The sequence below is a fragment of the Homo sapiens genome, chromosome 17, assembly GCF_000001405.40.
Source record: "Homo sapiens chromosome 17, GRCh38.p14 Primary Assembly".
Classification (NCBI taxonomy): domain Eukaryota; kingdom Metazoa; phylum Chordata; class Mammalia; order Primates; family Hominidae; genus Homo; species Homo sapiens.
In genome coordinates, this window is record NC_000017.11 from 63,521,439 (window position 1) to 63,549,365 (window position 27,927).

General features: G+C 55.9%; 1 protein-coding gene across 20 annotated transcripts, besides 1 other annotated feature; it reads left to right on the forward strand.

The window, feature by feature from the left end:
* Nucleotides 1-1,919: 1,919 nt before the first annotated feature.
* Nucleotides 1,920-27,554, forward strand: KCNH6 (potassium voltage-gated channel subfamily H member 6). Of its 20 annotated transcripts, none has more exons than XM_017025175.2 (15): nucleotides 1,920-2,051; nucleotides 2,701-2,931; nucleotides 8,653-8,814; nucleotides 8,899-9,104; nucleotides 12,448-12,873; nucleotides 14,231-14,630; nucleotides 16,627-16,826; nucleotides 16,972-17,224; nucleotides 20,803-20,996; nucleotides 22,138-22,222; nucleotides 22,574-22,681; nucleotides 22,811-22,973; nucleotides 23,640-23,826; nucleotides 24,171-24,507; nucleotides 27,364-27,554. In XM_017025175.2, exons 1-14 carry the CDS (start codon nucleotides 1,976-1,978, stop codon nucleotides 24,462-24,464), a joined length of 2,985 nt encoding a protein of 994 aa, XP_016880664.1. In that variant the 5' UTR covers nucleotides 1,920-1,975; the 3' UTR covers nucleotides 24,465-24,507; nucleotides 27,364-27,554. The 20 variants fall into 20 exon arrangements, 19 of the variants coding, with proteins under 19 accessions (XP_016880664.1, NP_775115.1, XP_016880668.1 ...); NM_173092.4 differs by lacking the exon at nucleotides 22,574-22,681 and having other exon boundaries at nucleotides 14,231-14,385; nucleotides 14,545-14,630; XM_017025179.3 differs by lacking the exon at nucleotides 27,364-27,554 and having other exon boundaries at nucleotides 14,231-14,385; nucleotides 14,545-14,630; nucleotides 24,171-25,289.
* Nucleotides 12,473-12,976: an enhancer, noted in NCBI's record as "H3K27ac-H3K4me1 hESC enhancer chr17:61611272-61611775 (GRCh37/hg19 assembly coordinates)". NCBI's record gives its function as "activates a minimal SCP1, AML or CMV promoter by ChIP-STARR-seq in naive H9 embryonic stem cells {active_cell/tissue: H9 hESC(naive)}" and the evidence as "EXISTENCE:reporter gene assay evidence [ECO:0000049][PMID:30033119]".

Sequence of the window (27,927 nt, forward strand, 5' to 3'; positions counted from 1 at the left end):
ATGATGGAATGAGTAAGTGAATGAATGAATGAATGAATGTCCCACTGCCCAAGTCCCTCCTCAGAGCTCAGCACCCCATGTACTGAGCTCATGAGAAATAGCCCCTTCTTTTCCTCCACAGCCAGCCTGTCCAACAGAGGGGCAGCCAGGACATCTCTGCCCTCTTCTCATCCCCCAGCCACAGTGGCCAAAGAGGCCCCCACTAGGCACTGTGGCTCTGCATGACAAACACACATCCAGCCCAGGACTCTAAGCCTCTCACCTGGACTCCAGTAAAAACCTTGCTGAGCCTCCTTGTCTATCCTTCCTCCCCCACCCACCATTGTAAAGTTTATGTCACCAGAATATTTCTTTCATGTCTAATTGCTTAAGAACTTGGTTGTTCATCAATTAAATCTAGATGTTCAAAATGGCATCTGAGGGTCTTTATTAATTACCTCCTTCCTCCAAACTCACCTCTCCCACACCCCCTTGTTCCCCCCACCCCAGCCCCTCTGCACTGACATCACCTTTGGCCTTTGCCTAAGGTGCATGCCCCATTTGAATGCTTGCCCTCCAAGATCAGGCTCAAAATTGCTCACCAAACCCTCTGCAGCACTACAAGCCCACCCAGATGCTCAGTGAACAGTAGTCCCCTTCTCCCCTTCCTCTCCAGGAAGCCTCTTTCAATAAACCTATTCCCACCCCCATTTGCTTTTTCTAGTGTGTTCATTTTCAGTCAGTACTCAGTACTCAGACACTTTTATCAGTGGTCACTTGCTAATAGGTGGTTTTAAATCTGTTCTCCTTCCAAGATGTACCTGTATGCTAAGAGCTCTCAGGCCTCTGAAGAAGGCATCTTATTGCATACTTCTTTCTTTCTTTCTTTTTATTTTCAGATGGAGTCTCGCGTCTCGCTCTGTCTACCAGGCTGGAGTACAGTGGCGCAATCTCGGCTCACTGCAACCTCCGCCTCCCGGGTACAAGCGATTCTCCCACTTCAGCCTCCCAAGTAGCTGGGATTATAGGTTTGCGCCACCACTCAGCTAATTTTTGTTTTTTCAGTAGAGACAGGGCTTCGCCATGTTGGCCAGGCTGGTCTCAAACTCCTGACCTCAGGTAATCTGCCCACCTCTGCCTCCCAAAGTGCTGGGATTACAGGCGTGAGCCACCGCGCCTGGCCCTTATTGCATATTTCTTGCACGTCTTCATGTGTACTCCTACCCCCTCCTCTCAGGACCAGGCCCTGGCTGGACTTGGCGGCAGGAGCTCTGCATGGGACCTAGGTCTCAGCTGAGCTGGAGATCACTTGCTATAAGAGCAGGCCAGAGGCCTAATGGTATCATTGCCAGGGTCGGGCCCAGTGGTCAGACCCGGAAGAAAGCTTTCAGCCAAAGACCACCTGAGGCCCCTAACAACCCCATCTGTAGCCCCCCTCCTGCCTGGGAAACTCCCTGCACTGGGAGGGGAGACTGCCCTTTGGTACTGGGAGGGAATCGGAGAGGTGCTGAGGCCATTGGCCCTTAGGACAGGAACAGAAGCAGCTCCTCAGAGAACACCTGCCCTATTCCAGGGCCAGGACCCCAGCCCCGCCCCGCCCCGCCCCGCCCCGCCCCGTAGGATGCAAGGCCCCGCCCCAGCCCCGTCGGGTCCCAGAGAAACTGCCCCGCCCAGCGGCCCCCTCCCCGCCGCCGGCGCGCGGCTTCTTTCAGCACCAAGGCGTGGACAGCTCCCGGGCCGGCGCAGAGGAGAGGAGGCCAGGAGGGCGCGGGCCAGGGAGGCGAGGGGAGGGCAGGGGAGCGCAGGAAAGGAAAGGAGAGGTGGGGCAGGGGTGGGGAGGGGAGGGCAGACGCAGGCTGGCGGGCGGGGCGCGGAGCCCGGCGGCCCTCCCCGGGGGCGGCGCCCACCGGAGCCGGACGCTGCTGAGCCCGAGGACAGACGGAGACGCCGGGAGCCAGTGGCGCCTGTGGCTCCGGGCAGGGGCCGCGGCCGAAAGATGCCGGTCCGCAGGGGCCACGTCGCTCCCCAAAACACTTACCTGGACACCATCATCCGCAAGTTCGAGGGCCAAAGTGAGTGTGTGTATGTTGGGGCGGGGGGACGATCTGGAGTCCTGGTTCCGTGAAAGGGGGGGCTGGACCCCTTTACTAACTTCTAACCGGGCAAGGTGGTGAGTGCCGGGTGCTGAATGAAAAATCCTTCTTTTGATGTCCCCAACACCTTCTCCTCCAGGGGGACCCGCTTGCCTTAAATGCTGTCCTCTTTTCTGGAACACAAGGAGCAGCGTGCAGGCCTTCCCTCCCTACTGCCAGCTGTTTCCTTGGTGCCCCAAGTTCGAACCTCCCCTTCCAGCCACTGCCTGCCCCCTCATCCGCGTCCTCCAGAGGCTTCTCTGAGTCCTTCTTTTCCTTCCTTTTCATATCCTGGTTCTGGTCTTCCCAGGAGCTTTCCCAGGCCTGACCCCCATCTGGTCACATCCCTGCCTCCCTTCCCCACACTTTTCCTGTTTCCAGGAGGCCTTGGGCCTTCCTTCCACCTCAAGACCCTCACTGCCCTAGTCTTCCCACAATCCCCAGGCCTGACTCCCTCCCTCATTCCGGTCACTGCCCTGCTCCTCTGCCTAAATTCCCCTTACTGCCACCAAGAGTCCTTATGATCTTTCCCTCCCAGCCGCTGGATCCTGGCTCCCATGGACTTTTTGCCTCCCACCTCCCACCCCAGGTCGGAAGTTCCTGATTGCCAATGCTCAGATGGAGAACTGCGCCATCATTTACTGCAACGACGGCTTCTGCGAACTCTTCGGCTACTCCCGAGTGGAGGTGATGCAGCAACCCTGCACCTGCGACTTCCTCACAGGCCCCAACACACCAAGCAGCGCCGTGTCCCGCCTAGCGCAGGCCCTGCTGGGGGCTGAGGAGTGCAAGGTGGACATCCTCTACTACCGCAAGGATGGTGAGGCATACTCAGGCCAGAGGCTTTGCAGGGCAGGCTTGGCCCTCTGTCTTGTCCAGCCAGGGTGGCCTTGGGGAAGGCACTGACCCAGGGTCCAAAGGGCCTGAACAAACCCTGTTTCTTCTAGGGGCCTTGGTTCCTCCACAGGCATTGGATATGATGCCTTCTGAGGTCCTTTGCAGGAGCTAGGGATCAGGCTGGGCCACCCACTGGTTCTGGCCTGGGGCAGGGCCTCCTGCTCTGCCATCCCTCTGCTGTGTCCCTGGTCTCCTGGCTCTCCACTATCTTACTGTCAGCCCCAGCGGTCAGGCAGCTGGGATGGAAATTAACCTTCCCTCCTCTCCGTCTGCTCCAAGGATTAGAGGAGGAGTCACCTCCTGAAGACCTCTGTGGCCAGGCAAGGCATGGGGGCTTTTGGCTGGCAAAGTGGGGTGGGCCTGCCTTATCCAGTCTCAGCTCTTTGGGGAGACAGGGTCTGGAGTTTTCCCTGACCAAGAAGCTCATTCAGATGGAGTTTGGGTTGTTACTGCCAGCTGGAGCATACTGCAAGCAGAACAGAAGCGTAAGTCAGGAGCTGAAGACAGATCTCAGCAGCCCTTGGAAATCCTCCCCCACCCCCCAGGACCACAGGGTCCTCACTGGACCTGGCAGCATGGGTGGGAACGAGGAAAAGAGCCTGAATGTCCTGGGAAATCTCTTGAATCAATGGCCCCCAACCTGGTTCTGCATCAGAATTACCCAGAGCATGTTTTCCAAAACATGCTTTCTCTACAGAGAGGCTGACTCAGAAGGTGTGAGATGAGGCCAAGCGGGTGTATTTGGAAATATCTCCCTGGTGGTTCTGATGTCCTGCTTACTTTAGGAACCACTGGCTTAGGTAAATCCCTTCATTTCATAGATGTGGAAGGGATTTGCCCAAGATCCCACTGCTAGAGTCCAACCTGGGACTGGAACCCAAGTCTCTGGATTCCTCCCTCGGAGATTTCTTTTGAGTAATCCCAAGAGGAGAGAAAGGACCCCAGCTGCCTTTGTGTTTACAGGCAGGATTTCTGGGGAAGGAGGTGCTCAGGGGAGAGAAGTCCCCAGGGAAGGCAGGCATGAGGCCACCTGAGTGGAGATAAAGAATGGATGTCTCTGGATCGGGACCGAGGAGTGCTGAGAGACCAGGTTTCAGGGGCCTGGAGTGTGTGAAACATGAGCATGTGTGTGCTTGCATGTGTGTGCCTCTGTGTGTGAGTGTGTGCTTGCAAGTTCACGCCTGTGTGTGTGTGTTTGCAGGCTTCTCAGAGTTACAGCTTCTCGGGTAGGTCCTGGTTGTTCCTGCTGCTGCCACTTGAGTGAGTGGCAGTGGGAAGTGCAACAGGCAGCGGCAGCCAGGAAGGGACTGGGAAGAATCTGGCTTAGTGTGGCAGTACTCACAGGGTTAATGAACTCAGAATATTTTTAAAAGCTGTGACCTCACCTCCTCACATCATTGCAGAGGAGAGGTGGCAGTCAGGGGAGTGAGAAGGGTCCTGGGGAACAGGATGGGACAGCAGGAAATGGGGGTTACAGCAGGTCCTTTCTTTTCCTCTCCTTGACACTAGAGCTATACCTGATCCCAGATTCCTAGGGATGTCAGGTGATGGCTCTTGAGGTCCCCTCAGCACCCTGAAGGTGTCTGGGCAGAGGGCAGAAGTCAAAGCCTGGCCTTGGCCCCCTGAGATCAGGACTCAGATCAGAATCCTGTGGGAGTCCTCAGGTCTCAGAAGGGAACCTAGGAACCTTGTCTTGGGGGCTGACCCTCGGTGAAAATGGGAAATTGCCCACATACCTGGTGCCCCATAAGTCCCAATCTACTCCCATCCCACCCTCGGCCCTTCCCTATCTTATTGCCCAAGGCTTTGATTTACCTGGACCTTCCTGAAATTGTCCTGAAACCCAGAAAGGGGAGCTTCCTGGCCTGCATTACACTAAGGGAAGGATATTGTGCTCAGATAACTGATGTTCACCTTAAGGTCCACTCTGACCTCATATAATCCTTTTTTTTTTTTTTTTTTTGAGACAGGGTCTTGCTCTGTCACGCAGGCTGGCAAGAACATAGCTCACTGCAGCCTCCCATCCCAGCCTCCTGAGTAGCTGAGACTACAGGCGCGCACCCTCACACCCGACTAATTTTTTAATTTTTTGTAGGGATGGGGGTCTCACTATGTTGCCCAGGCTGGCACATGATCCATTTTTGACCATATTCATGTACACTTACAGTCCTGCTGAGGGGCATCCTAATGGTGATTTCTTTCCTCCTCGGGTCAGTACCTCCCTTCCCCCCAACCCCCAACTCCAGGGAGGTGGGAAGGGGTCCTGAGCAGATCTCTAGCTGATTTATGTATAATCCTCTTTTCCTCTAAAGGGGTAATCCACTGAAAATTCTCGAAGTCAAAGTGGAGGGTTTGTGTTCACATAGCTCCACGTTGTGCAGCTACAGACATTTGGGCTCAAAGAGGCCAGGGCACTTGGCAAAAATACCCCGGGAGACATCTCAGAGACCCCTGGGAAACTGGCTCTTCCTCTATTTGCCTTTGCTAGGAGTGGTGAGAACCTAACAGATAAGGAGGAATGGGGATGTGGCAGGACTAGAACTGGTGAGAGTTTGGCAGGAAGAAAGGAGAGCACTCAGATCCCCCCACTGTCACCCACGCCTGCCCCGCACTGGCACCTGCCCGGGAGCCCACCCCAGCCTGCCTTTCCTGGGTCCTCTTCTCTGAGGATCCCGAACCAGAGAGTCCCCTAATCCCCAAGCCAGATCAGAGGAGTCCTGGGACTTCTCCAGTCCTCAGCTCTTGATGAGGAGGATGGGACAAGGGGCTGCTGTCTGCCCCCACCCTCCTCCCATGTTTACCATATGCACATCTGTGAATGCCAGGAGGACCAAGCTAGGAGGCAGCATGCAGCGGCCACCCTCTCAGTGGCAGCTTTTTGGCTTTTTGTAGCACCAGCCTCTCCCTGGGGACTCACCACAGTGCTGGATGGGGTGTGCATCGGGAGACAGAGGTGAAGACAACAAGGAGGTTGTGAGTGCTGGGAAACTGAACGAAGGAGCACATTCAAGAGGGAGAGAAGAGGAGAGAGAATTGGGGTCTCCCAGGGGAGAGAAGTGGGGTGCCTTTGCTAAGAAAAGTAAGAACCTAGCATATAAGAAGGAATGGGAATTCCCAGGGGGCAGACAAACCTGCTGCCCTTGGTCAGAAAGGTGGGTGCTGGGAGGAGCTCCTGCAAGGAAGAAGCAGGCAGAGACTGTGGCTCCTCCTCCAGGGCCCTGGTGAGGGCACAGGAACACCATCCCTCCTGGGCATAACCTGAGATGGTACAGTTACCCACTTTTGGTCACCTAGATGTGGGCTTTTGTTGTGTGGGGGCTCTGAGCCACGGGTAAGCAAGGACAACCTGGGGCAGGGGGAGAGAGAATGCTCTGGACTCTTCCAAATCCTCCTAGCCTCCTGTCTGCCTACCCAACAGGCCACAGGCATGGGGGCAGGGCATGGGGTACCACGCACTGGCACCCCACCCCAGCCCCAGACCTCACTGCTATAACGGGCTGGTCTTTGGTCCATTCCCAGCCGCAGTTTTCCAATTGCATCAATTTTCCAGTAACATCAATTGCTGGGTGCAGCCACGCCAAGACTGTGTATTGACAGCCCCCAGCAGCTTAGAGAGCCCTGGAGGCCTTCTGCCCCTCTGCCCAGCTCTGCCCTCTCCCTGCCCCCTGCCAGGACAGATCTCTGCAGTGCCAGAGAGATTGACAATATAATCTGGCCTTAGGAGCAGTGTCCGAGGCCACTGGCCAAGGAGGCTCCCTGTCTAGGTCCCAGCGTCCACGTGTCACCATGCCCCAGGCTGACTGGAGTTATGGGCTTGGGCCTGGGAGTCTGGGCCTATAGCACTATGTGCCCAGGAGTGGGTGAAGCAGGCAGGCGCCTCTCCCCAGTGTGGGTGTCTCCCCTGGGCCCAGGCAGCAGATGGTAGATGGCTGCCTGGTGCCTGGGAGTCCAGAAATCCAATACGAGAGATTCCTACTCCCCAGGGAGGAAAGCGAGAGGGAGGATATGGGTGGCTCAGCTGCACCCCAGCTCTGATGGCTGTGAGGAGGGGCTGAGGACGAAACAAGGAGTCTGGTGGAGAGTCATTCCAGTGAGCTCCACAGCAGTGATACTCCCACCAGCGGCCGGCCTGCGTCCCCCACACGTGGGCTTCCATACATTCAGTCAACAAACAACACCTGGGACAGGTGAAACAGAGCCTAACCTGCCCTCAGGGAGTGCAGCTCTGCCTTCTCATCTGCGTGGTCACCTGAGGCCCCTGCCCCCTGAGGATCCTGCCCTTTGGGCCTGACATCTGCCAACAGTTTGAGTTGAGGGACATAGGACTCCCATGGAGAGGGTGCTCGTGGGGTGCCTGGCCTGGGGCTCTTGGGTATGGGGTATTTTGTTTGTTTGTTTGTTTGTTTGAGACAGAGTCTCGCTCTGTCACCCAGGCTGGAGTGCAGTGGCATGATCTTGGTTCACTGCAACCTTGGCCTCCTGGGTTCAAGCGATTCTCCTGCCTCAGCCTCCTGAGTAGCTGGGACTACAGGTGCGCACCACCACGCCTGGCTAATTTTTGTATTTTTAGTACAGACGGGGTTTCACCATGTTGGCCAGGCTGGTCTTGAATTCCTGGCCTCAAGTGATTCGCCTGCCTCAGCCTCCCAAAGTGCTGGGATTACAGGCATGAGCCACCACGCCCGGCCAGGCATGGGGCATTTTAGCTGGTATTGTTCCATCCACCAAAGGGGGCTGCAGCCAGACCCTGGAGGGGCAGAGTCTACGACCTGAGAGGCACAGAGCAGCCAGCCGCTGGGTGTGGGCTGCCCAAGATAATGGGGAAGGTGGCCAGAGGGGCCTGCCCTGCCCCCACAGGGCCATCCTCCTCCCTCTGTGGTGCCCAGGCCACTACTCTGCCTGCTCCCTGGGCCCAGCCCTGCCTTGGGACCCCACACTCCTCCTAGGCCCAGAGCAGCAGCCTGGTTCTGGCCCCAGCACTCTCCTCCCAAACAAGTCCCTTCCCTTTTCCAAGCTATTGTGTCCTGCAAACCCAGGGATCCTCTCTCCATGCTCCCTCCCAGCCCTTGAAAGTCAGTTTCTGAGAACCTCAGGCTCTCTTCTGCAGAATGGGGGTCCATGCCTGCCCCCCAAGGACCTCCTGAGGCCAAATGTTCCAACTGGCCCCATGCCCAGCACTTAGTGTACTTTCAACAACAAATTCCTCCCTGCATCACAGGAGCAGGGCATCTTTGCAGGATGGGAATATGGGAAGAGCGCCCAGGGCCAACCCAGCTCCATGGGGTAGAATGCCCAGCCTCACCTCCCCACTTAATCCACCCCCATCTGCTCAGCTTTAATTACAGCAGAAGCAGACCTCGAGGTTAAGCTCTGAGCTGATGGCCGAGCGTGGACTTGGGCCTGATCTGATGCTACCTTATCTCCTAATAAGCAGCTTAACCGCTCTCCCCACCTCTGCCCTGTGGGTGGAGCACCAGCTGAGCAGCCTCACCCACCCTCTGCCCAGTATCTCTGGTCACTGTCCAAGCCTCTTCACCCGTGGCTGCCCTTCACTTGACCTTCACTCAGCCCCTTCCCTAGCCAGGCCACTGCAGGAGGGGACCCCTTCAGGGCCCACCCCCCATCCTCCCAATGGTGTTCGCAGCCTCCAGCTTCCGCTGCCTGGTAGATGTGGTGCCCGTGAAGAACGAGGACGGGGCTGTCATCATGTTCATTCTCAACTTCGAGGACCTGGCCCAGCTCCTGGCCAAGTGCAGCAGCCGCAGCTTGTCCCAGCGCCTGTTGTCCCAGAGCTTCCTGGGCTCCGGTGAGGCAGAGTGAGGGTGGTGGTGGGAGGGACGCATGAGGGTCCCCTGGCCGTGGCTGCTCTGACTCCTGGCCCTGGTTTCAGAGGGCTCTCATGGCAGGCCAGGCGGACCAGGGCCAGGCACAGGCAGGGGCAAGTACAGGACCATCAGCCAGATCCCACAGTTCACGCTCAACTTCGTGGAGTTCAACTTGGAGAAGCACCGCTCCAGCTCCACCACGGAGATTGAGATCATCGCGCCCCATAAGGTGGTGGAGCGGACACAGAACGTCACTGAGAAGGTCACCCAGGTGCGGGCCTGCAGAGCAGGGTGTGCAGAGCTGTGCCAGGCCTCCAGGGTCCCCTCCCAGGCTCTGGGCCCAGGCCCTTCTGGGGCCTTGGCCGATAAAGAGATCCTGCCTGTCCAGCCTCTAATATCTGGTTTGAGCCCCGGGCCTCCTGTCCTGTTTGAGACCTAAAGACCTGAAGGCCTGCCCTGAGGTCACAGCCCTTGTGCCCAGCTCCTAGAGCCAGAGGAGGCTGGGGTCAGTAGGGCCTGTGAATGATGCCACCTCCTAGGCCTGGAGAAGCCAGGGCAGGGGATGGACATGGAGGCCACCATGGGGGCCTGACCAAGGCTCAGCCCGTCACAGGGAAGGAGAGGCAGAGAGGAGACATGCCAAGGCCATACTGAGAGGAGAGCTGGTGTGGGGGGGGGTCCCAGCCCTGTGCCAGCCCTTTGCCTTTGAGACAAAAGCCACCCTCCCTACTTCCTTCCAATGTGAACACAGGATCCTCCTGCATGCCAGGCAGGGCAGGATGAGGCTGGCACCTCCAGCTATCTTTAATCAGCTTCCTGGGGGCCAGGCCCTGAAGGACCCCGGCAGCTCCTCCTTGGCCACCCCAAGGCAGGCTTCCCTGGGTTCTCTGCTCCAGCTCACCCTGCTGTCCCTTCTCATGAGGCCGGAAGCCCTGACCATTCCAGAGGGAAATGCGAGGAGCCCTGCCCGAGGCTCCAGTGACCACAGTCCTGGCACTGACTCCCTGTGTGACCTTGGCCAGGGGAACTATCAGCCCCCTTTCTAGGCCTCAGGGCTTTCATCTGCAGGAGAGAGATGGACTAAATGGTCTCTGGGGACCCATTTGACATTGAGTAGTTCTGGCCCCAGGAGGCAGACAAAGCTGTAAGTCATAGCCAGGGGCCCAGGCCAAGGTTGAGCAATGCAGAGCATGGAGGGGCCTGCTCCCAGCTTTCCTGGGGCTGTCCCTGTGTTGGGGCTGGAGGCAGCTCTTTTCCCCCTGCCTGTTTTCACCTAAAGCACAGTTGCTGCTGGAACCAGGTGTGGGGAAGACCACTCAGCACCTCACTGACCTCAAGGATCCTGAGGAGGGTGGGACGCCAGGCTGCAGGACTGTGTCCTCTGAGGTCAGGCAGAGTGGCCCAAAGGCCTGACCCTGGGAAGCCCCCCAGCTGCTTACTCCAGGACATCTTAGGTTGATGCCACTGTTGGTGGCTACCACGGAGGGGGCTGTTAGACTGGAGAGTGGTCGGTAAAGACAGCCAGGCCTGGCTGGGCCCATAGTCCCGGCACCTGCCCAACCTGCCTACCCGTTTGTTCCTCAGCTTGGCCCCTCTTGGTGTCACTCCCCTGCTCCATGTGGGTCCTAGGTCCAGGGAGGTGCCTGACAGATCTCAGGGGAAAGAGCAGGCGAGGACCCAGATCAGGGAAGTCACATCGGCCTCAACCAGAACTTAAAGAGCCTCGATGGCTGTGGCCTCACACTGGAGCCTGGGCATCCTGAGGGCCTTGCAGCTCTGGGGGACACTGGGCAGGGTGGGCTTTGCCACGAAGAGCCTCGAGCTGGCTTTGGAGGCAGTGGGAGATTTTGGGGGTCCCCCTGTCTGGGGGCCCTGAGAAGCTGAGGAACTCTATTCTCAGCCTACTTTAAACCACCCCCCACCATTCCTTCTGTCTCCCTCCCACTCCCCACCCAGGCAGGCCTAGGGAAGGGCCTTGTTTCACCCTAGCAGGGTCCTAGCAGCCCTCAGGAGGAGGAGGAGCAGCTCTGATGCCCAGGGTGTGACGGCAGCTGCTCCTGATCAGAGCCCCAGTTTGCAGTGCTCATTCAAGGACCTGCAGTTGAGAGCCCATGTGGACCAAGAGCTGGGCACACAGCGGGGAGAGGGCCAGTGAGGGAGCCAAACTCAGTGAGCCCATGGCTCAGTGGAGCACCACCATGCAGCTAGGTGGATACAGGGGCAGGGAGAAAATAAAAAAAGAGCCCAAGTCTATGTGGAGTCGGAGGGGGCTTCCTGGGGAAGTACGAGGTGAGGCCTCAAGGCTGAGCAGGTCACTGCAGGGTGGGGACATGGTAGCCCCACTCAAGGGTTTGGATGTCAGATAGGGACCCTCTGGTTGAAACTAAATGGATCTGCCTTACTGTGATCCCATCTGCTAATTGATTTGGTTTGCAAGGTCAAACCTTACATTGCAAATTTTCCTAAATCAGAACTATCCACCAGATCTCATCTGGTGGGAGAGGAGGTCCATGGAACACCCCTCCGGCTCCATCCTTGTCTGGAGCAGTGTCTGATGAGGCTGAGGGAGGAGGAGGGTGGACAGGGAATTACTGTGTAGAGCAGCACCTGCCATCTCCATGAGAATAGATGGATCTCACTAACTACATGAGAAGAGATGCATCTCATTTCCTCACTACCCATGGCTTTTGTTGTCCTTTGTGATTCCATTTTGCAGATGAGGGAACTGAGGCTCACAGAGGTTACAAAACTTGCCCAAGGCTCACCTATAGCACATGTCAGACCTGGGATTCAACCGGGGAGGCCTGGCTTCAGTACCCATGCCCTTCCTAATGCCCTGGCTGTCTCTCATGTTGGGCAGCTGGGCAGAGCCAGGGCATGTTGTGCTGGGACCTAGAGATCCTGGGTTGATCACAGTCTTGGAGGCGGGGGCGGGAGGGGAGAAGGGAGAAGGGAAGGCTCTGCAGAAGGTGATGATTCCAAACCCTTGGAGATGTGGGGAGGAGTCAGTTTTCCTTGGTGCCCAGGACCCGTTGAGGGTCCAGGTTGGCTACACCCCTACCCCATGGACTCTTTCCATGGGAGGCTCTGAGTTGGCCTCAGAGAGGGCACTCACTGGTCCTGGATCCCCAGGGCCCTCAGAAAGGAAGACATTCTTCTAGGGGTGACCTGTTCCCATCAGGAACCCTGACCATAGGGAGCCTCCTAAGCTCACCAGAGAGGATCAGCCCATCAGCTACCCCTTCTGTGGGCTCTTGTGTGGAATGGGTCTATAGATGTCCATGGGCCTGGCCCTCCCCTGCCTGGCTCCACCCACTCCAGGATGTTTCCAAGGGAGCTTGTGAGCATCAAACCTGGTGTCGCTATGGGGCGGAGCCATACCCCTCCTCTTGCATCCCAACTCCTTTCTCTGCACTTCCTCTCGAGGCATCTGTCCCCTTAGGAACTTGCCTTCTCAGACACCCCCCACCCCATCTCTCCCTCATCCCCTCTGCCCACCAGAGCCGTGGTCACCCACCCTCTCCCACTACACCTTCCCCAGGCCTCAGCCCTCTAGGCCAGTCTCACCAGCAGTGGCTGCCCCGTGCCTGACCTCCCTCGGCCCCCACCCCCAGGTCCTGTCCCTGGGCGCGGATGTGCTGCCGGAGTACAAGCTGCAGGCGCCGCGCATCCACCGCTGGACCATCCTGCACTACAGCCCCTTCAAGGCCGTGTGGGACTGGCTCATCCTGCTGCTGGTCATCTACACGGCTGTCTTCACGCCCTACTCAGCCGCCTTCCTGCTCAGCGATCAGGACGAATCACGGCGTGGGGCCTGCAGCTATACCTGCAGTCCCCTCACTGTGGTGGATCTCATCGTGGACATCATGTTCGTCGTGGACATCGTCATCAACTTCCGCACCACCTATGTCAACACCAATGATGAGGTGGTCAGCCACCCCCGCCGCATCGCCGTCCACTACTTCAAGGGCTGGTTCCTCATTGACATGGTGGCCGCCATCCCTTTCGACCTCCTGATCTTCCGCACTGGCTCCGATGAGGTGAGCAGACCCCCTCCAGGCCAGCAGCCATGGCTGTCCTCTGCACGCTGGCCTCAAGCCCTCCCTGCTGCACAGCACTGGGTGCGGAGAGTATCTGGCACTGGGCACCTTTGCTGAAGCACGTGGAGGTGGAGAGGAGGCCCCAAACATCTGTCACCTCCCAGCCCTGGAGAAGGACCTGCCAAGGCTGCACCCCCAGGCCTCTGTCCCTCTGCCCCCTCTCTGAGCAGGCCCTGGTAAGAGGAGCAGGCTGCCCCTTCCAGGATGGGCACTCGTGTGGTCCCGGCCCCTCATGCTGACTTCCAAACTGCACTCACCCTGGAGGAAGAAAGGGATCCCCAGGCCACTCCCCCAGTGCACCCTGGCTCCCACCTTGCTCCCTAGCCCTCCACTATGTCCACCTGGCTGCCCATAGGTGACGTGAAGGCATCTACATGCCTTTCTCATAGCTTCCAGTCCCACGGTCTCCTCTTGCCCCCTCTCCTCACGATCAGCTTTTCACTGAAATCAACTCTGCCTTCTGTGTTCCAGTGCCCCCTTATCACCCCAGCCTGTCCAGCAGGGGGTGTCCAGCAGGGCTCCTCTGCTCCAAAGCCCCCTAAGACCACCCCTCAACAAATCCACCCTCCTACCTTGCTGCCCCCACCTGGACACTGAGTGGCCTTCGTACTCACTTGTGTCCCATCACCAAACTTGCCAGTCTCCCGCCCCTCCACACAGCTGCCACAGCGACTTTCAGATCGCCTACCTGACCCTGTGTTCCACCCTCTGGGGTGTACAGGGTCCTCAGAATTTTCAGTGGCTTCCCAAGGCCTACAGACTAGAAGCCAAGTTCATGATGGACCCTGAAGCCCACAGGCAGCAGCCCCTGCCCGCCCTGCCCTTCCCAGGCACGGCTCTCACTGCTCCTCCATCTCCCATGTGCGCATCGGGCTGCAGTGCCACACTCGGTTTCCCACATCGGCCACGCACTTCACACCTCAGTGCCGCTGCTCATGCTGCTCCCTGAGCCAGGAGTGCCCTTTCCCTCTCTCTCCTGTCTGTCTGGAGCCCTAGCCTCCTCTCTCCAGGCTCAGCTCATGCGTCACCTCATCCATGAAGCCTCCCCTGACCTCCCCTTCCTCTGTTCTCCCACTGGACTTCTGTCCTAGCAACCAGAACACTATTCTGAGCTTTAGGCTGAGATCCTCAATGTCCCATACTGTGCCACACTGCCAAGTGCGTGGCCCGGAGGAAGTTCTCCATAAATGTTTGTTGAATGAGTATGTGGTTGTATGCATGAGTGAACAAAAGCAGGCCTGACTGCACCCTTCCAAGGGCTGACCCCAGCCCTGTGACCATTTCCCTACCCCTCCAGACCACAACCCTGATTGGGCTATTGAAGACAGCGCGGCTGCTGCGGCTGGTGCGCGTAGCACGGAAGCTGGACCGCTACTCTGAGTATGGGGCGGCTGTGCTCTTCTTGCTCATGTGCACCTTCGCGCTCATAGCGCACTGGCTGGCCTGCATCTGGTACGCCATCGGCAATGTGGAGCGGCCCTACCTAGAACACAAGATCGGCTGGCTGGACAGCCTGGGTGTGCAGCTTGGCAAGCGCTACAACGGCAGCGACCCAGCCTCGGGCCCCTCGGTGCAGGACAAGTATGTCACAGCCCTCTACTTCACCTTCAGCAGCCTCACCAGCGTGGGCTTCGGCAATGTCTCGCCCAACACCAACTCCGAGAAGGTCTTCTCCATCTGCGTCATGCTCATCGGCTGTGAGTGAGACCTCATGCCACGGCCTAACTTCATGCTCTGGTCTTACCCGTGAAATTTTATGTGTAGTTTTGTACTGAGATAGAACATAACACATAGCAACAATTCATGCAGTACACTGATCCTAAGTGTGCAGCACAATGAATTTTTGCTGGTGTGTGCACCAAGTGTATACAATATTTAACACCCACACAGCCCATGCTATCTGCCAGGCACCAAGACAGGCTACATAATTTGCAGAGCCCAGAGCAAAATGAAATTGTAGGGACCCTTGTTTAAAAATTATTAAGAATCGGCCAGATGCTGTGGCTCAAGGCTGTAATCCCAGCACTCCAGGACACCAAGGTGGGTGGGTCACCCGAGGTCAAGAGTTCAAGACTAGCCTGGCCAATATGGTGAAACCCCATTTTTACTAAAAAATACAAAAATTAGCCAGGTGTGGTGGCACATGCCTATAATCCCAGCTACTCGGGAGGCTGAGGCAGGAGAATCAGTTGAACCTGGGAGGTGGAGGTTGCAGTGAGCCAAGATCGTGCCACTGCACTTCAGCTTAGGTGACAGAGTGAGACTCCGTCTCAAAAAAGAAAAAAAAATTATTAAGAATTTTTCGCCAGGCATGGTGGCTCACTCCTGTAATCCCAGCACTTTGGGAGGCCGAGGTGGGCGGATCATGAGGTCAGGAGTTCAAGACCAGCCTGACCAACATGGTGAAACCCTGTCTCTACTAAAAATACAAAAATTAGCCGGCGTGGTGGTACACACCTGTAATCCCAGCTACTCAGGAGGCTGAGGCAGGAGAATTGCTTGAACCTGGGAGGTGGAGCTTGCATGAGCCGAGATCACACCACTGCACTCCAGCCTGGGAGACAGAGCAAGACTCCGTCTCAAAAAAAAAAAAAAAAAAAAAAAAAGAATTTTTCGACAGTGACAGCAGAGTATTAAACCAAATGCAGGGCTCTTAGCATGCGGCTCCGTGTGTCCACATGGGTTGTACACATGAAGCCAGCTCTGCCAGGCACTCTTTTAAACACTTTACAAAAGCCCACATTTCATTCCCTTCTGAGCCTGGTTTACAAAGCAAGAACCCAGGTAGTGCTAAAGTGCCAGAGGGCACACAGCTAGGAAATGTCCGAGTGACTCAATCCCAGCCCAGGGGTTCAGCTCCAAGGCTGTGCTGTTCTCAATCCCTGCTCCCAGCTGCCTGCCTCCCAAGACACCTGGTTTAGGAAAACAAGAGTCAGCGTGGAATTTTACACATAGATTGAGTTGTGATGTTCAGAGTATTTAGAGATATGAAAGTCCAGAAAAACAAAAACAAGGGAAGAAAATGGGTGAAAACAAGAAATTGAGAGTTTGCTCTTTTTTGTTGTTGTGGGTTTTTTTGTTTTGAGACAGTCTCATTCTGTCGCCCAGGCTGGAGCTCAGTGGCATGGTCTTGGCTCACTGCAACCTCTGCCTCCTGGGTTCAAGCGATTCTCATGCCTCAGCCTCCCGAGTAGCTGGGATTACAGACGGGCATCACCATGCCCGGCTAATTTTTCTATTTTTTTGGTACAGACGGGGTTTCACCATGTTGTCTGGGTTGGTCTCGAACTCCTGACCTCAGGTGATCTGCCCACCTCGGCCTCCCAAAGTGCTGGGATTACAGGCCTGAGCCACCACACCCGGCGGAGAGTTTTATCTTTATTGTATTTTTACAACTTAAAGGAGAAAACAGATCTGAACTTTAAAAATCCATTGCCTTCCTTCTTTCTTCTCGGGAGTTTGACCGCTAGGCCCAGTAAGATGCCAAGAGGCACAGGACAGAGGGAGGAGGGCAGAAAGCCCAGGGGCCTTTGTCCCGCATGTGCCCTGGCGCTGTCCTGGTCACTCCTGACTTCTCCCTGGACAGAGGGGTCCTTCACCAGGGGGCTGCTGGAAGGAGGAAGACCTGGGTAAGCCCTTGGTGGTGTGGCCCAGTGGGGCCGCGGAGGAGCTCACTCTCCGCCCCGCCCCCAGCCCTGATGTACGCCAGCATCTTCGGGAACGTGTCCGCGATCATCCAGCGCCTGTACTCGGGCACCGCGCGCTACCACACGCAGATGCTGCGTGTCAAGGAGTTCATCCGCTTCCACCAGATCCCCAACCCACTGCGCCAGCGCCTGGAGGAGTATTTCCAGCACGCCTGGTCCTACACCAATGGCATTGACATGAACGCGGTGAGCCCCGCCGCTCCGGCTAATGCCCCGGGCGTGGGGGGGAGCCAAGATCCTGCGGGGGCGGGGCGTCCCCAGAGCCCTCACCACCCTCTCCCCCAGCCCCACCCCGGCCGCGTCCCGCTGGACTTGGCCGCCCGCCTTGCAGGTGCTGAAGGGCTTCCCCGAGTGCCTGCAGGCTGACATCTGCCTGCACCTGCACCGCGCACTGCTGCAGCACTGCCCAGCTTTCAGCGGCGCCGGCAAGGGCTGCCTGCGCGCGCTAGCCGTCAAGTTCAAGACCACCCACGCGCCGCCTGGGGACACGCTGGTGCACCTCGGCGACGTGCTCTCCACCCTCTACTTCATCTCCCGAGGCTCCATCGAGATCCTGCGCGACGACGTGGTCGTGGCCATCCTAGGTGGGTCCGGCGGAGTGGACCAGGCCTGTGTTGGGGATTGGATGGAAGAGGGCGGGATTGGAGATGCCCTGCCCAGGCCACCCTCTTCCTGATGAGGATTTTACTTTTACTGGCAGCCACTTGCACAGCATGTGCCCGGGAGAGCTTTAGACCCAGCTGGCTGAATCCTTAAAACAACCCTCTGCCGGAGGTCCCATTTTCCTGAGAGGGAAGTTGAGGCTGAGGGAGATCATGCTAGTCTGTGGCCAGGCAGGGATTCCAGGGCTGCCAGTGTGACTCAGAAGCCCAGGCAGGTCTTCCTACCTTCTTGCACTCTTGGGGAGTTTAGGGAGAAAGGCCAAGGGTCTTTCTGGGTGGAGGTGGATGCCCTGGCTGGGGACCCCAGTCTCATTCAGTGCAGACACAGGGATAGCTAGACACTTTGGAGGAAGGACATGAGCACTGGGCAGGGGGGACAGACAGGTCACAAGCAGCCTCTGTCACATACCTGCTGTGTGACCTTGGGCAAGTCACTTTGCCTCTCTGAGCATCACAGGGTCCTCTTGATTCTCATCTTCCTTGCCTGCCCCATGACTTCATCTCCACCCCAACTTCAGCCTCGCCCTCCTTTGGTACCCATGACCTGGCTATCCTCCAGCCCCTCTGGACAGGTTCCCCTCGGGCAGCCCTCCCCCTCTGCTTCCTCTGGACTGCTGGTGATCTGCTCTCCTCGCCCCTCCTCACCTGACACCCTCCCCTGGGCCTGCTCCTCGCTCCCACGGCTTCAGCCTTCACCTGTGCCACAAGGAGCCCTGTCCTCACCCCACTGTCTCCTTAGACCAGAATATTCCATTTCTTCCTGGGCATGGCCGCCCTAGTATTCTATGAACAGATCAAACTCAATGTATCCCAACCTGAAATCACCTTTCCTCAAAACCAGCTGCTTCAGCATCCCCATCACTGTGAAGCATCTGCCTATTGCCCACGCCACAGTCTGCCAAGGGGGCATCCTACTTCATTCCTGCCCACTGTCCACCAGCCAGACTTGTCCATACCTCTCCATCTCACACCTGTCTCCCTGTCCCTGCCTGGATCCAGCCCTCTTTGGGTCCTTCCTGGAAAGGTGTTGGGAACTCCTTTCCCATGGCCCTGCGTCTGGTTTACTCCCATGCCTGTCTTCCACCTTCTGCCAGTGACCTGAAATAGACATCTGTACATCTGCCTCTTCTGCTCAAGATCCCTCCACAGTTCCCCATGGTCCATGCATGGCATCCCCAGTTATCCCAATCCGACCACCCTGTCCTACCACCCTCCCCCTGGTACTTCATGCTCCAGCCAAACTACTTAGAGTTCTCTAAATCTGTGCCCTTGCATGTGCTGCCATTCTGCCTGGAGCGCCCTACCCTGTGCCAGTCCGGCAGATCCCAGTTGTCCTCCAAGGCTGGGCTTAGGCACAGGTTTCTGTATGAGACCTTCCCTCACTCCCAGCCTACCTTAGACGTGCCATCCATGGCCAGGCACGGTGGCTCATGCCTGTAATCCCAGCACTTTGGGAGGCCGAGGTGGGTGATCACAAGGTCAGGAGTTCAAGACCAACCTGGCCAAGATGATGAAACCCCATCCCTACTAGAAATACAAAAAATTAGCCCGGCATGGTGGCGGGTGCCTGTAATCCCAGCTACTTGGGAGGCTGAGGCAGAGAATTGCTTGAACCCAGGAGGTGGAAATTGCAGTAAACCAAGATCACGCCACTGTACTCCAGCCTGGGTGGCAGAGCGAGACTCTGTCTTTAAAAAAAAAAAGTGCCATCACATGGGAGGGATGATTATTATTATTAATAATTAAGAAGTTAATCCAATTTAAGTTTCAGTTAGAGACATGAAACCTCTCATTTTGTCCTGAGTAGAAAAAGACACTAGATCAGAATCTTTCATCTACTGGAAAACCATCACATTATAATGTTGCCCAGATTTCAAGCTTCAGGGTTTCATGTGTGACCCTGGCAAGCCGCTTCCCTCTCCAGGCCTCAGCCCCCTCCTTTGTGAATACCCTTTGATCCTGTTCTCTTGTGGGGACATGTCTCAGCCTCCACCCATCCTTCTGTGCTAAACTGTTACTGCCACTTGCACTAACAAGTGGACTTTCTGGGGGAGTGGGAATCAAAGCAGTCATGCTCCGTGGCACCCCGGCCCTGGGCTCTCCACCCCTGAGCCCTGACAGTGCAGTGCTGATCACATGCTGTTTCTTCTGTCCTGACTGCCTTTCTCATGGGGGCTGGTCCTTGTTTCTCTCGACACAGCCCCCACTTCACTTCCTCTGTAAGCCCCCTCCTCTCTGCCCCAGCCACCCCTGGCAGGAGGAGCCCCTCCCTCCTCCATGGCCCCATAACTCTTGGTTCTTCCTGTTTCTAGGGCTCTACAGATCATGCTGTAAACTTGTTGGCTGCTTACGTACCTATCTTGCAGGGATTTGGGAGGGTCCTTGTGGGTGGCACAACATCTTATATTTATATCCTTTGGCCAGCACAGCACCTGGCACCAGGAGGGCCCAGTACCCTTGCCACATACCACATACCTGAACATCACCCATGTCTACCCTGGGATATTCCCCCTTGCCTTGCATGGACCTAGTCAGGTGCCTCTTGCTTTTTTTTTTTTTTTTTTTTGAGATGGAGTCTCGCTCTGTCACCCAGGCTGGAGTACAGTGGTGTGATCTCAGCTCCCTGCAAACTCTGCCTCCCGGGTTCAAGTGATTCTTCTGCCTCAGCCTCCCGAGTAGCTGGGATTACAGGCCACCATGCCCTGCTAATTTTTGTTTTTGCTGTTGTTGTTTTTAGTAGAGATGCGGTTTCACCGTGTTGGCCAGACTGGTCTCGAACCGACCTCAAATAATCCACTACCCTCAGCCTCCCAAAGTGCTGGGATTACAGGCGTGAGCCGCTGAGCCCTGCTGCCTGTTGCTTTTTGAGTCACTTTCTCAAGCATCACCTCATCTGCTTCCCTGAACAGTCCAGTGGGGTTGGCAAGGCAGATCAGGTTTTATCCATTTTAGAGATGAAGACTCTGGGGTCTAGACAGGGGGAGTAACTTCCCCAAGCTTCCTTCACCAGGGCCATGCTGGTTACCTGGCCCCACAATTGGGAGTGGGAAGACAGAGAAGCCTCTGGCCCTGCCCTGGCGGAGTTAGGTGCTCTGGCCCTGGGTTCCCTGCACCCTGCTCCACAGCACTGGCAGGCCAAGCAGCAGGAAGACGTTGAGACAGATGTTGAGCCTTTAGGGCCCCTTCCTGCCCACTGTGCCAAAGAGTATGGGCTACAGGAGGGAGATTCTGATGGAGGGTGGTTCTGAAGGGCCTGGAGACAGTGAGAGGAGCCACACGCCGGATCTCTGTGCCGCTCAAAGGACACAGGAAGAGAACAGCCCCACCCCTACCCTGCCACCCACAGCCAGCACATCCAGCCATGTCCCCAGAGCTCTATCCCAGGCAGCAGGCCCCGGCCTAGAAGGATGTCCGAGGTTGGGGGAGGTCACGGTCAAAGGACCCTCATAAGGGAGCATGGAGTCAGACCCTGAAGAGACTCCCACCCCTCTGGCTGGCAGGAAAGAATGACATCTTTGGGGAACCCGTCAGCCTCCATGCCCAGCCAGGCAAGTCCAGTGCAGACGTGCGGGCTCTGACCTACTGCGACCTGCACAAGATCCAGCGGGCAGATCTGCTGGAGGTGCTGGACATGTACCCGGCCTTTGCGGAGAGCTTCTGGAGTAAGCTGGAGGTCACCTTCAACCTGCGGGACGTGAGTCAGGGCCAGGTGGGCCAGGGTGGGTGGAAATGCCCAGGCAGCCTGCCTGGCCTGAGGGCACCCATCTGACCAACACCCTTCCTTTCAACCCCATCCTGCAACCTTTGCCATAATTTCTTTTGTGCCTACCATGGCTGGCGTCATGCTAAGTATGAGGATAGCTACTATTTATTAAGCAGTAGGGTGCTAAGGGTGGGGCTTCTTTTACATGATCTTCTTGCAAATGGTATTATTATCCCCAATTTTCAGATGAGGAAACTGAGGATTAGAGACAATAAATAAATTGGCCAAAGCCATTCAGCTAGTCAACGGCAGAGCCAAAATGTGAATTTAATTTGTCTGACTCCAAAGCCCAGGCATTCCTACTACATCATACCAAGCTGAAAAAGGGGGTGCCTTCTGTCCAGAGGGCTCACAGTGCCAGACACAGGGGCTGCCAAGAGGTGACAAAGCTGTCTCTTCTCATGCTCATCCCTCAGTAGAGGAGATTTTGACAACTCAAGAAAAATAAAGAGCCACAAAGTAAAACAGCCAAAGTCACGAAGGTATAAAGGAGAAGCCATGTGGAGCTCAAGCTTGCTAAGGAGTGGGACAGCCAGGACCGACCTGGGAATGCCCAGAGCGGGGTATCACGGAGGAGGAAACTAATGGGAAGAAGGGAGTGTGCATCTGGCAGGGAAACACAGAGCCCGGGCTATTTCTTCCCTGGTGCCCCGCCCCTCCACCTTGGGGGAGGGCCCTGCTGGCGTAGGCCCTGTGCCCAGCTTCCTGAGCATAGAGCTGGGTGGGCTTTCTGGCTGTGGACAGCCCTCCCCACACCATCCCCTCTCCCCCTCCTCAGTTTCTCCCCTCCCTCCCGCGATCTGCACAGGAGACTGACAGGTTAGGACTCTGCCCTCGGCCCCCAGCCATCAGGTGGCCAGAATGCCCAGCAGCTGGGCACCAGGACAGGAGGGGTGTGGTCTCTGCAGCCTGGGCCACCTGCAGGAAGTCGTCCAGGGCATCGCTGCTGTGCCCAGCTGCTTGTCATTCTTTCACCTAGTTGTGACAGCACCATGGGGTCAGGGCAGGGAAGAACAAAGAGGCCCCATCCCAGCTTTGGTTCCTGTTATTTCACCCTCTTGCTTCCCATAAGGCAGCCGGGGGTCTCCACTCATCCCCCCGACAGGCTCCTGGCAGCCAAGACCACCAAGGTTTCTTTCTCAGTGACAACCAGTCAGGTGAGCAAAGCCAGCCCCCACCCCCACCAGCCTGTAGCCCCTGCCCAGCCTCCTACCCCTCCCATGTCCTCTCCATCCTGCCTCCCCAGCGCCACCCCACTCCATGAGTGGAGAGGGGCTCCCTCTCTAGACCCAGAGCTGGAGCCTTGGCCCTCCTTCCTCCCCAGTCTCCCAGTCCTGATGGTCTGTGTCCTCAGAGGCAGAGTGAGGGCTCTGTGGTTCAAATGCAACCCCCAGGGGTGTATGGAGACTAGCCAGCCCCCTGAGGTTCCACACCAAGGCATCAGGGGGGCCACTGGGCTGCAGCTCCCTGGGCAGTGAAACCAGTGCTAAAAGTCCTCACCCTGCCAGGGTCTCCCCATGAGCTGGGGCCCCAGTTCCCCTCTAAGGGCTACAGCCTCCTGGGTCCTGGGAGCCAGAACTCCATGGGGGCAGGACCTTGTGCTCCAGGGCACCCAGGTAAGGAGAGCCACTCCTCACACCCTGTGTCCCCAGGGCAGGTAGGGGGTGGGGGACAGGCTCTATTGAGAAGGGTCAGGCCTGTGGAACCAGCTAGGCCCAGCTGAGACTTCCCTTTCCCTCCTGCAGATGCAGCCCCTCCCCTGAGCATCTCAGATGCATCTGGCCTCTGGCCTGAGCTACTGCAGGAAATGCCCCCAAGGCACAGCCCCCAAAGCCCTCAGGAAGACCCAGATTGCTGGCCTCTGAAGCTGGGCTCCAGGCTAGAGCAGCTCCAGGCCCAGATGAACAGGTGTGTGTGCTGTGGTCAGGGCTGGGGGCTGGTCATGGGTAGCCCCTCCTAGTGGCTCAGACACATCACAGGGTGCCAGGTGGGTTTTAGAATGGGGCAGGCCATTTAGCTGCAGGTCTCCCCATACCTGTCATTAAGCACAATTCCCCCAATGACTTCCCCTAGCAAACTCTGGAACATGCCAAGGGAGCTTCTCGGGGGAGGGGCACAACCATGTGCAGAAACAAATTCCATAGGTCCTGGGAAAGGGAGTGTGTCCTGTGGATGGCAGGGCTATGGTGGCAGAGCGAGGGCTTAGAGGCAGAACAGTCCAGGTTCAAATTCTGGCTCTGTTCCCTACCAGCAAGAGTGTGGGCAAGTTACTAAACAGCTCTGAACCTAGTTTGCCCTTTTGTGAAATGGGGATAATTGGAACATCCACATCAAAGCATCTTGGGGACTGAATCTTGTATGCTTGGTGCCTGCTCACTGGTGTTGTTAAGAGTCAGGGGTGTACCAGGGGGATTCTGGGCCGGGGCTGTGGATCCCAGTAAGGAAATAGCTTCAGGTAGGCCCCAGGCCGCCATTCCATCTAGCAGGAACAGCACGCAGGCTACAAGATTGACAGCTGCCCTCAGGAACTACTTTTGCCAGCCCTGACCCTGACTGTGGGGTTCTGTCTGGCAGGCTGGAGTCCCGCGTGTCCTCAGACCTCAGCCGCATCTTGCAGCTCCTCCAGAAGCCCATGCCCCAGGGCCACGCCAGCTACATTCTGGAAGCCCCTGCCTCCAATGACCTGGCCTTGGTTCCTATAGCCTCGGAGACGACGAGTCCAGGGCCCAGGCTGCCCCAGGGCTTTCTGCCTCCTGCACAGGTAAGAGGTGAGGGGATTCCCAGGGGCTTACCTGCGAGCAGCTGCATGCCTTCCCTACCCTGACTTGTTCACAGTGCAGCATCAGGCCCAGAGCCTCTGTGGCCCCAGAGCAGCCAGGGCTTCTGCTTACCTCCTTTATGATCAGAGTCATGATAGGGTTAGCCTGGGCAAGGTGCTGGCAAAGCCCAGAATGTGACTCCAGAGCCTGCAGCTGGGGCCAGGGCAGCAGGACCCTGAGGTGTGGGAAGGGCAGGTACAATTTTTGCCTGATCCCATCCCTGAAATCAGGGTGGATTAACCCGCAGCCTGGCCTGGGGTGCATCCCTCTTTCTTGCTCCTCCCAGACCCCAAGCTATGGAGACTTGGATGACTGTAGTCCAAAGCACAGGAACTCCTCCCCCAGGATGCCTCACCTGGCTGTGGCAACGGACAAAACTCTGGCACCATCCTCAGAACAGGAACAGCCTGAGGGGCTCTGGCCACCCCTAGCCTCACCTCTACATCCCCTGGAAGTACAAGGACTCATCTGTGGTCCCTGCTTCTCCTCCCTCCCTGAACACCTTGGCTCTGTTCCCAAGCAGCTGGACTTCCAGAGACATGGCTCAGATCCTGGATTTGCAGGGAGTTGGGGCCACTGAACTCCAAGATAAAGACACCATGAGGGGACTGAAGGTGGGCAAGGTGAGAGTTAAGGATCTTGGGGAGGTGGCCGGGTGCAGTGGCTCGCCTGTAATCCCAGCACTTTGGGAGGCCGAGGCGGGCGGATCAGACCATCCTGGCTAACACGGTGAAACCCCACCTCTACTAAAATTAAAAAAGAAAAAAAATAGCCGGGCGTGGTGGCAGGCGCCTGTAATCCCAGCTACTGGGGAGGCTGAGGCAGGAGAATGGCATGAACCCGGGAGGTGGAGGTTGCAGGGAGCCGAGGCCGCACCACTGCACTCCAGCCTGGGTGACAGAGTGAGACTCCAACTCAAAAAAAAAAAAAAAAAAGATCTTGGGGAGGCAGACAGCCCCCCAGATGGGCCTCTCCTAAAGTAGCTACAAACTGCTGATCCAGGTGACCCAGGATGGCGTGGGTGAAGAAGCTCACGACTTTTCCCAGCCTCCTCCAGGGCTCCATTTAAACAGCAAGCCTGGTGCAGGGTGGGAGAGTCTCAGGTGTGGAGGCAGCTTACAGGATTGAGGGGGCAGTGAAGAAAGAGGTTTCTGATCTACATGAGTACCTTGCTCTGAGCCTCCCAGCTCAGAACCCTCCAGCACCTCATGGCTCAGCACCAAGGCCCGGGGTTGGTCAGAACTCTTACCATGAGCCTCTGACCTGGCTGGAGATGGAGGTATGTTCTGTGGCAGACATGTCAGGACAGTCCTCCAGCCCTCTGCTCCTGATGGTTCTGTGACATTGGGTCTCTTGAGGGCAGTGGAGTGTCACACAGCTAATAAAGTACACATTTCATGTTGGACTGGGTGTGTAACTTATCTGAAGGTCATTACGTCTTTGACTGTGCTGTGGCTTTCTCCAAACCCTTCTTGTAAGGAGCTGCAGACTTACCCTCCACCATATCCAGTGTGTTGGGGACCTGAAGGTGGTTCTGCTGGGCCCAGAGGCTCCTGGAGCCTGGGGCTGTTAGGCCGAGGTGAAGGGAAGCAGAGGCACTGGCTTGGTGGCCCTAGGGGATCATGACAACAGCCAACACTTCGGTAGCACTCGCCCCGTACCAGGCACTGTGCTGACAGCTCTGCAGATACTTGTTCATCTAATCCTCAAAACAACCCCAACGGGTTGGTATTATTATCCCCATTTTACAGATGTGGGATCAGTAGCAGAGAGACTAAGACACCCAAACATGAGGGGGATTTCTGAGGTGCAGGTACTGTTCTGTTTCCTGATCTAGGTGCTGGTTACAGGTGTTCAGGTTGCGAAAGAGTGTGCTTCTGTGTGTAAATTATACCTCAGTTAAAAAGAAAATAAAAATAAAAAAAGAGGCCAGGTGTAGTGGCTCATGCCTGTAATCCCAGGGCTTTGGGAGGAGGATGAGGCAGGAGGACTGCTTGAGGCCAGGAGTCCAAGGTTACAGTAAGCCGTGATTGCATCACTGAACTCACACCCTGGGCAAGGGAATAAGACCCTGTCTCAAAATGAAAATTTTAAAAATCATCCCCGTGCCCAACACGGGGCATTTGTATTGACCCATTTCTACCCAAATAGCAGCGATTTGAGAGCCACCACCATCTATTTTAAAAACACAAGAAACCCTTCTTTAACATCGTTCTTTTTTCTTTTCTCATAATTCCCACTTATTCCTCCCATAGTTTTATCCTACATGTAATTTATTGGTATGCTTCAAAGCCTAATATTGATCACCCTATCATATGTTTGCAACACAAATATGTATACAGGCTGGGTGCAGTGGCTCACTCATGCCTGTAATCCCAACACTTTGGGAGGCTGAGGCTGGAAGATTGCTTGAGCCAGGAATTCAAGACCAGCCTGGGCAGCATAGCTCAACCTGGTCTCTACAAAACAATTTTTTTTTAATTAGCCAAGCATTGTGATGCGCACCTGTAGTCCCAGGTACTACAGGGCTTGCTGGGAGGCTTGGGTGGGAGAGTCACTTGAACCTAAGAGGTCAAGACTGCAGTAAGCCATGTTCATGCAACTGTACTCCAGCCCGGGTAACAGAGCAAGACTCGGTCTCTTAAAAAAAAAAAAAAAAGTGGCTGGGCGCAGTGGCTCACACCTGTAATCCCAGCACTTTGGGAGGCTGAGGTGGGCAGATCACGAGGTCAGGAGATCAAGACCATCCTGGCTAACAGGGTGAAACCCCATCTCTACTAAAAATACAAAAAAAATAGCCAGGCGTGGTGGCAGGTGCCTGTAGTCCCAGCTACTCGGGAGGCTGAGGCAGGAGAATGGCGTGAACCCAGGAGGTGGAGCTTGTAGTGAGCCAAGATCGTGCCACTGCACTCCAGCGTGGGCAACAGAGCAAGACTCCGTTTCAAAAAAAAAGTAGGTCGGTCATGGGGTGGCTCATGCCTATAATCCCAGCATTTTGGGAGGCTGAGGTGGGAGGACCAGTTGAACCCAGCCTGGGCAACATAGCAAGATCTTGTCTCTACAAAAAATAAAGGAGGCAGGAGGATTGCTTGAGCCCGGGAGGTCAAGGCTGCAATAAGCACTGTTTGCCCCACTGCACCACCACCTGGATAACAGAGCAAGACCCTGCCTCAAAACGAATGTGTATAAATTAATTGACATTTTAAAATTAATTTTTGTAACCTTAATAAGGCTTTAAGGGTTACATCTATTAGTAGTACAGTTGTTCAAAACAACATAAATATATATTCAATTTTCTAATAAAAACTAAAATTTTATTGGAAATATACGTCATAAAAGAGAAAATTTCCTCCCCCCGTTAGTTCCTATATCTGTGGATAAATATCATTATTTTTTATTAGAATAAGACAAGGTACCGCGAATTTTGTACGTCTTTTTCTTTCCTTTTTAAATTTGTTTTTAAACTTTCCTCCTTACAGGGGATTTCCTTTAGCTGGGCATGGTGGCGGGCGCCTGTAATCCCAGCTACTCAGGAGGCTGAAGCAAGAGAATCACTTGAACCCTAAAGGCAGAGGTTGCAGTGAGCCGAGATAGTGCCACTGCACTACAGCCCGGGCGACAGAGTGAGACTCCATCTCAAAAATAAAATAAAATTAAAAAAAAAAGAGGATTTCTTGGCCAGATGCGGTGGCTCACGCCTGTAATCCCAACACTTTGGGAGGCCGAGGCTGGAAGATCATTTGAGGTCAGGAGTTCGACACCAGAATGGCCAACATGGTGAAACCCCATCTCTACTAAAAATACAAAAATTAGCTGGCTGTGGTGGTGCACCCCTGTAATCTCAGCTACTCGGGAGGCTGAAGCAGGAGAATCACTTGAACCTGGGAGGTGGAAAAATCATTTATCATTAAAAATTATATTTAGTGCCCAGAATGGTGGCTCAAGCCTGTAATCCCAGTACTTTAGGATGCTGATGTGGGAGGATCGCTTGAGCCCAGGAGTTCGAGATCAGCCTGGGCAACATGGAGAGATCTCATCTCTAC

What these genes read in the sequence shown, in the direction of transcription:
- KCNH6 (XM_017025175.2), top strand. Translation starts at nt 1,976, where the DNA reads ATGCCGGTCCGCAGGGGCCACGTCGCTCCCCAAAACACTTACCTGGAC. An exon ending in CCGCAAGTTCGAGGGCCAAA is followed by an intron (nt 2,052 to 2,700) that starts GTGAGTGTGTGT and finishes CTCCCACCCCAG; the next exon opens with GTCGGAAGTTCCTGATTGCC. An exon ending in CCTCTACTACCGCAAGGATG is followed by an intron (nt 2,932 to 8,652) that starts GTGAGGCATACT and finishes TGGTGTTCGCAG; the next exon opens with CCTCCAGCTTCCGCTGCCTG.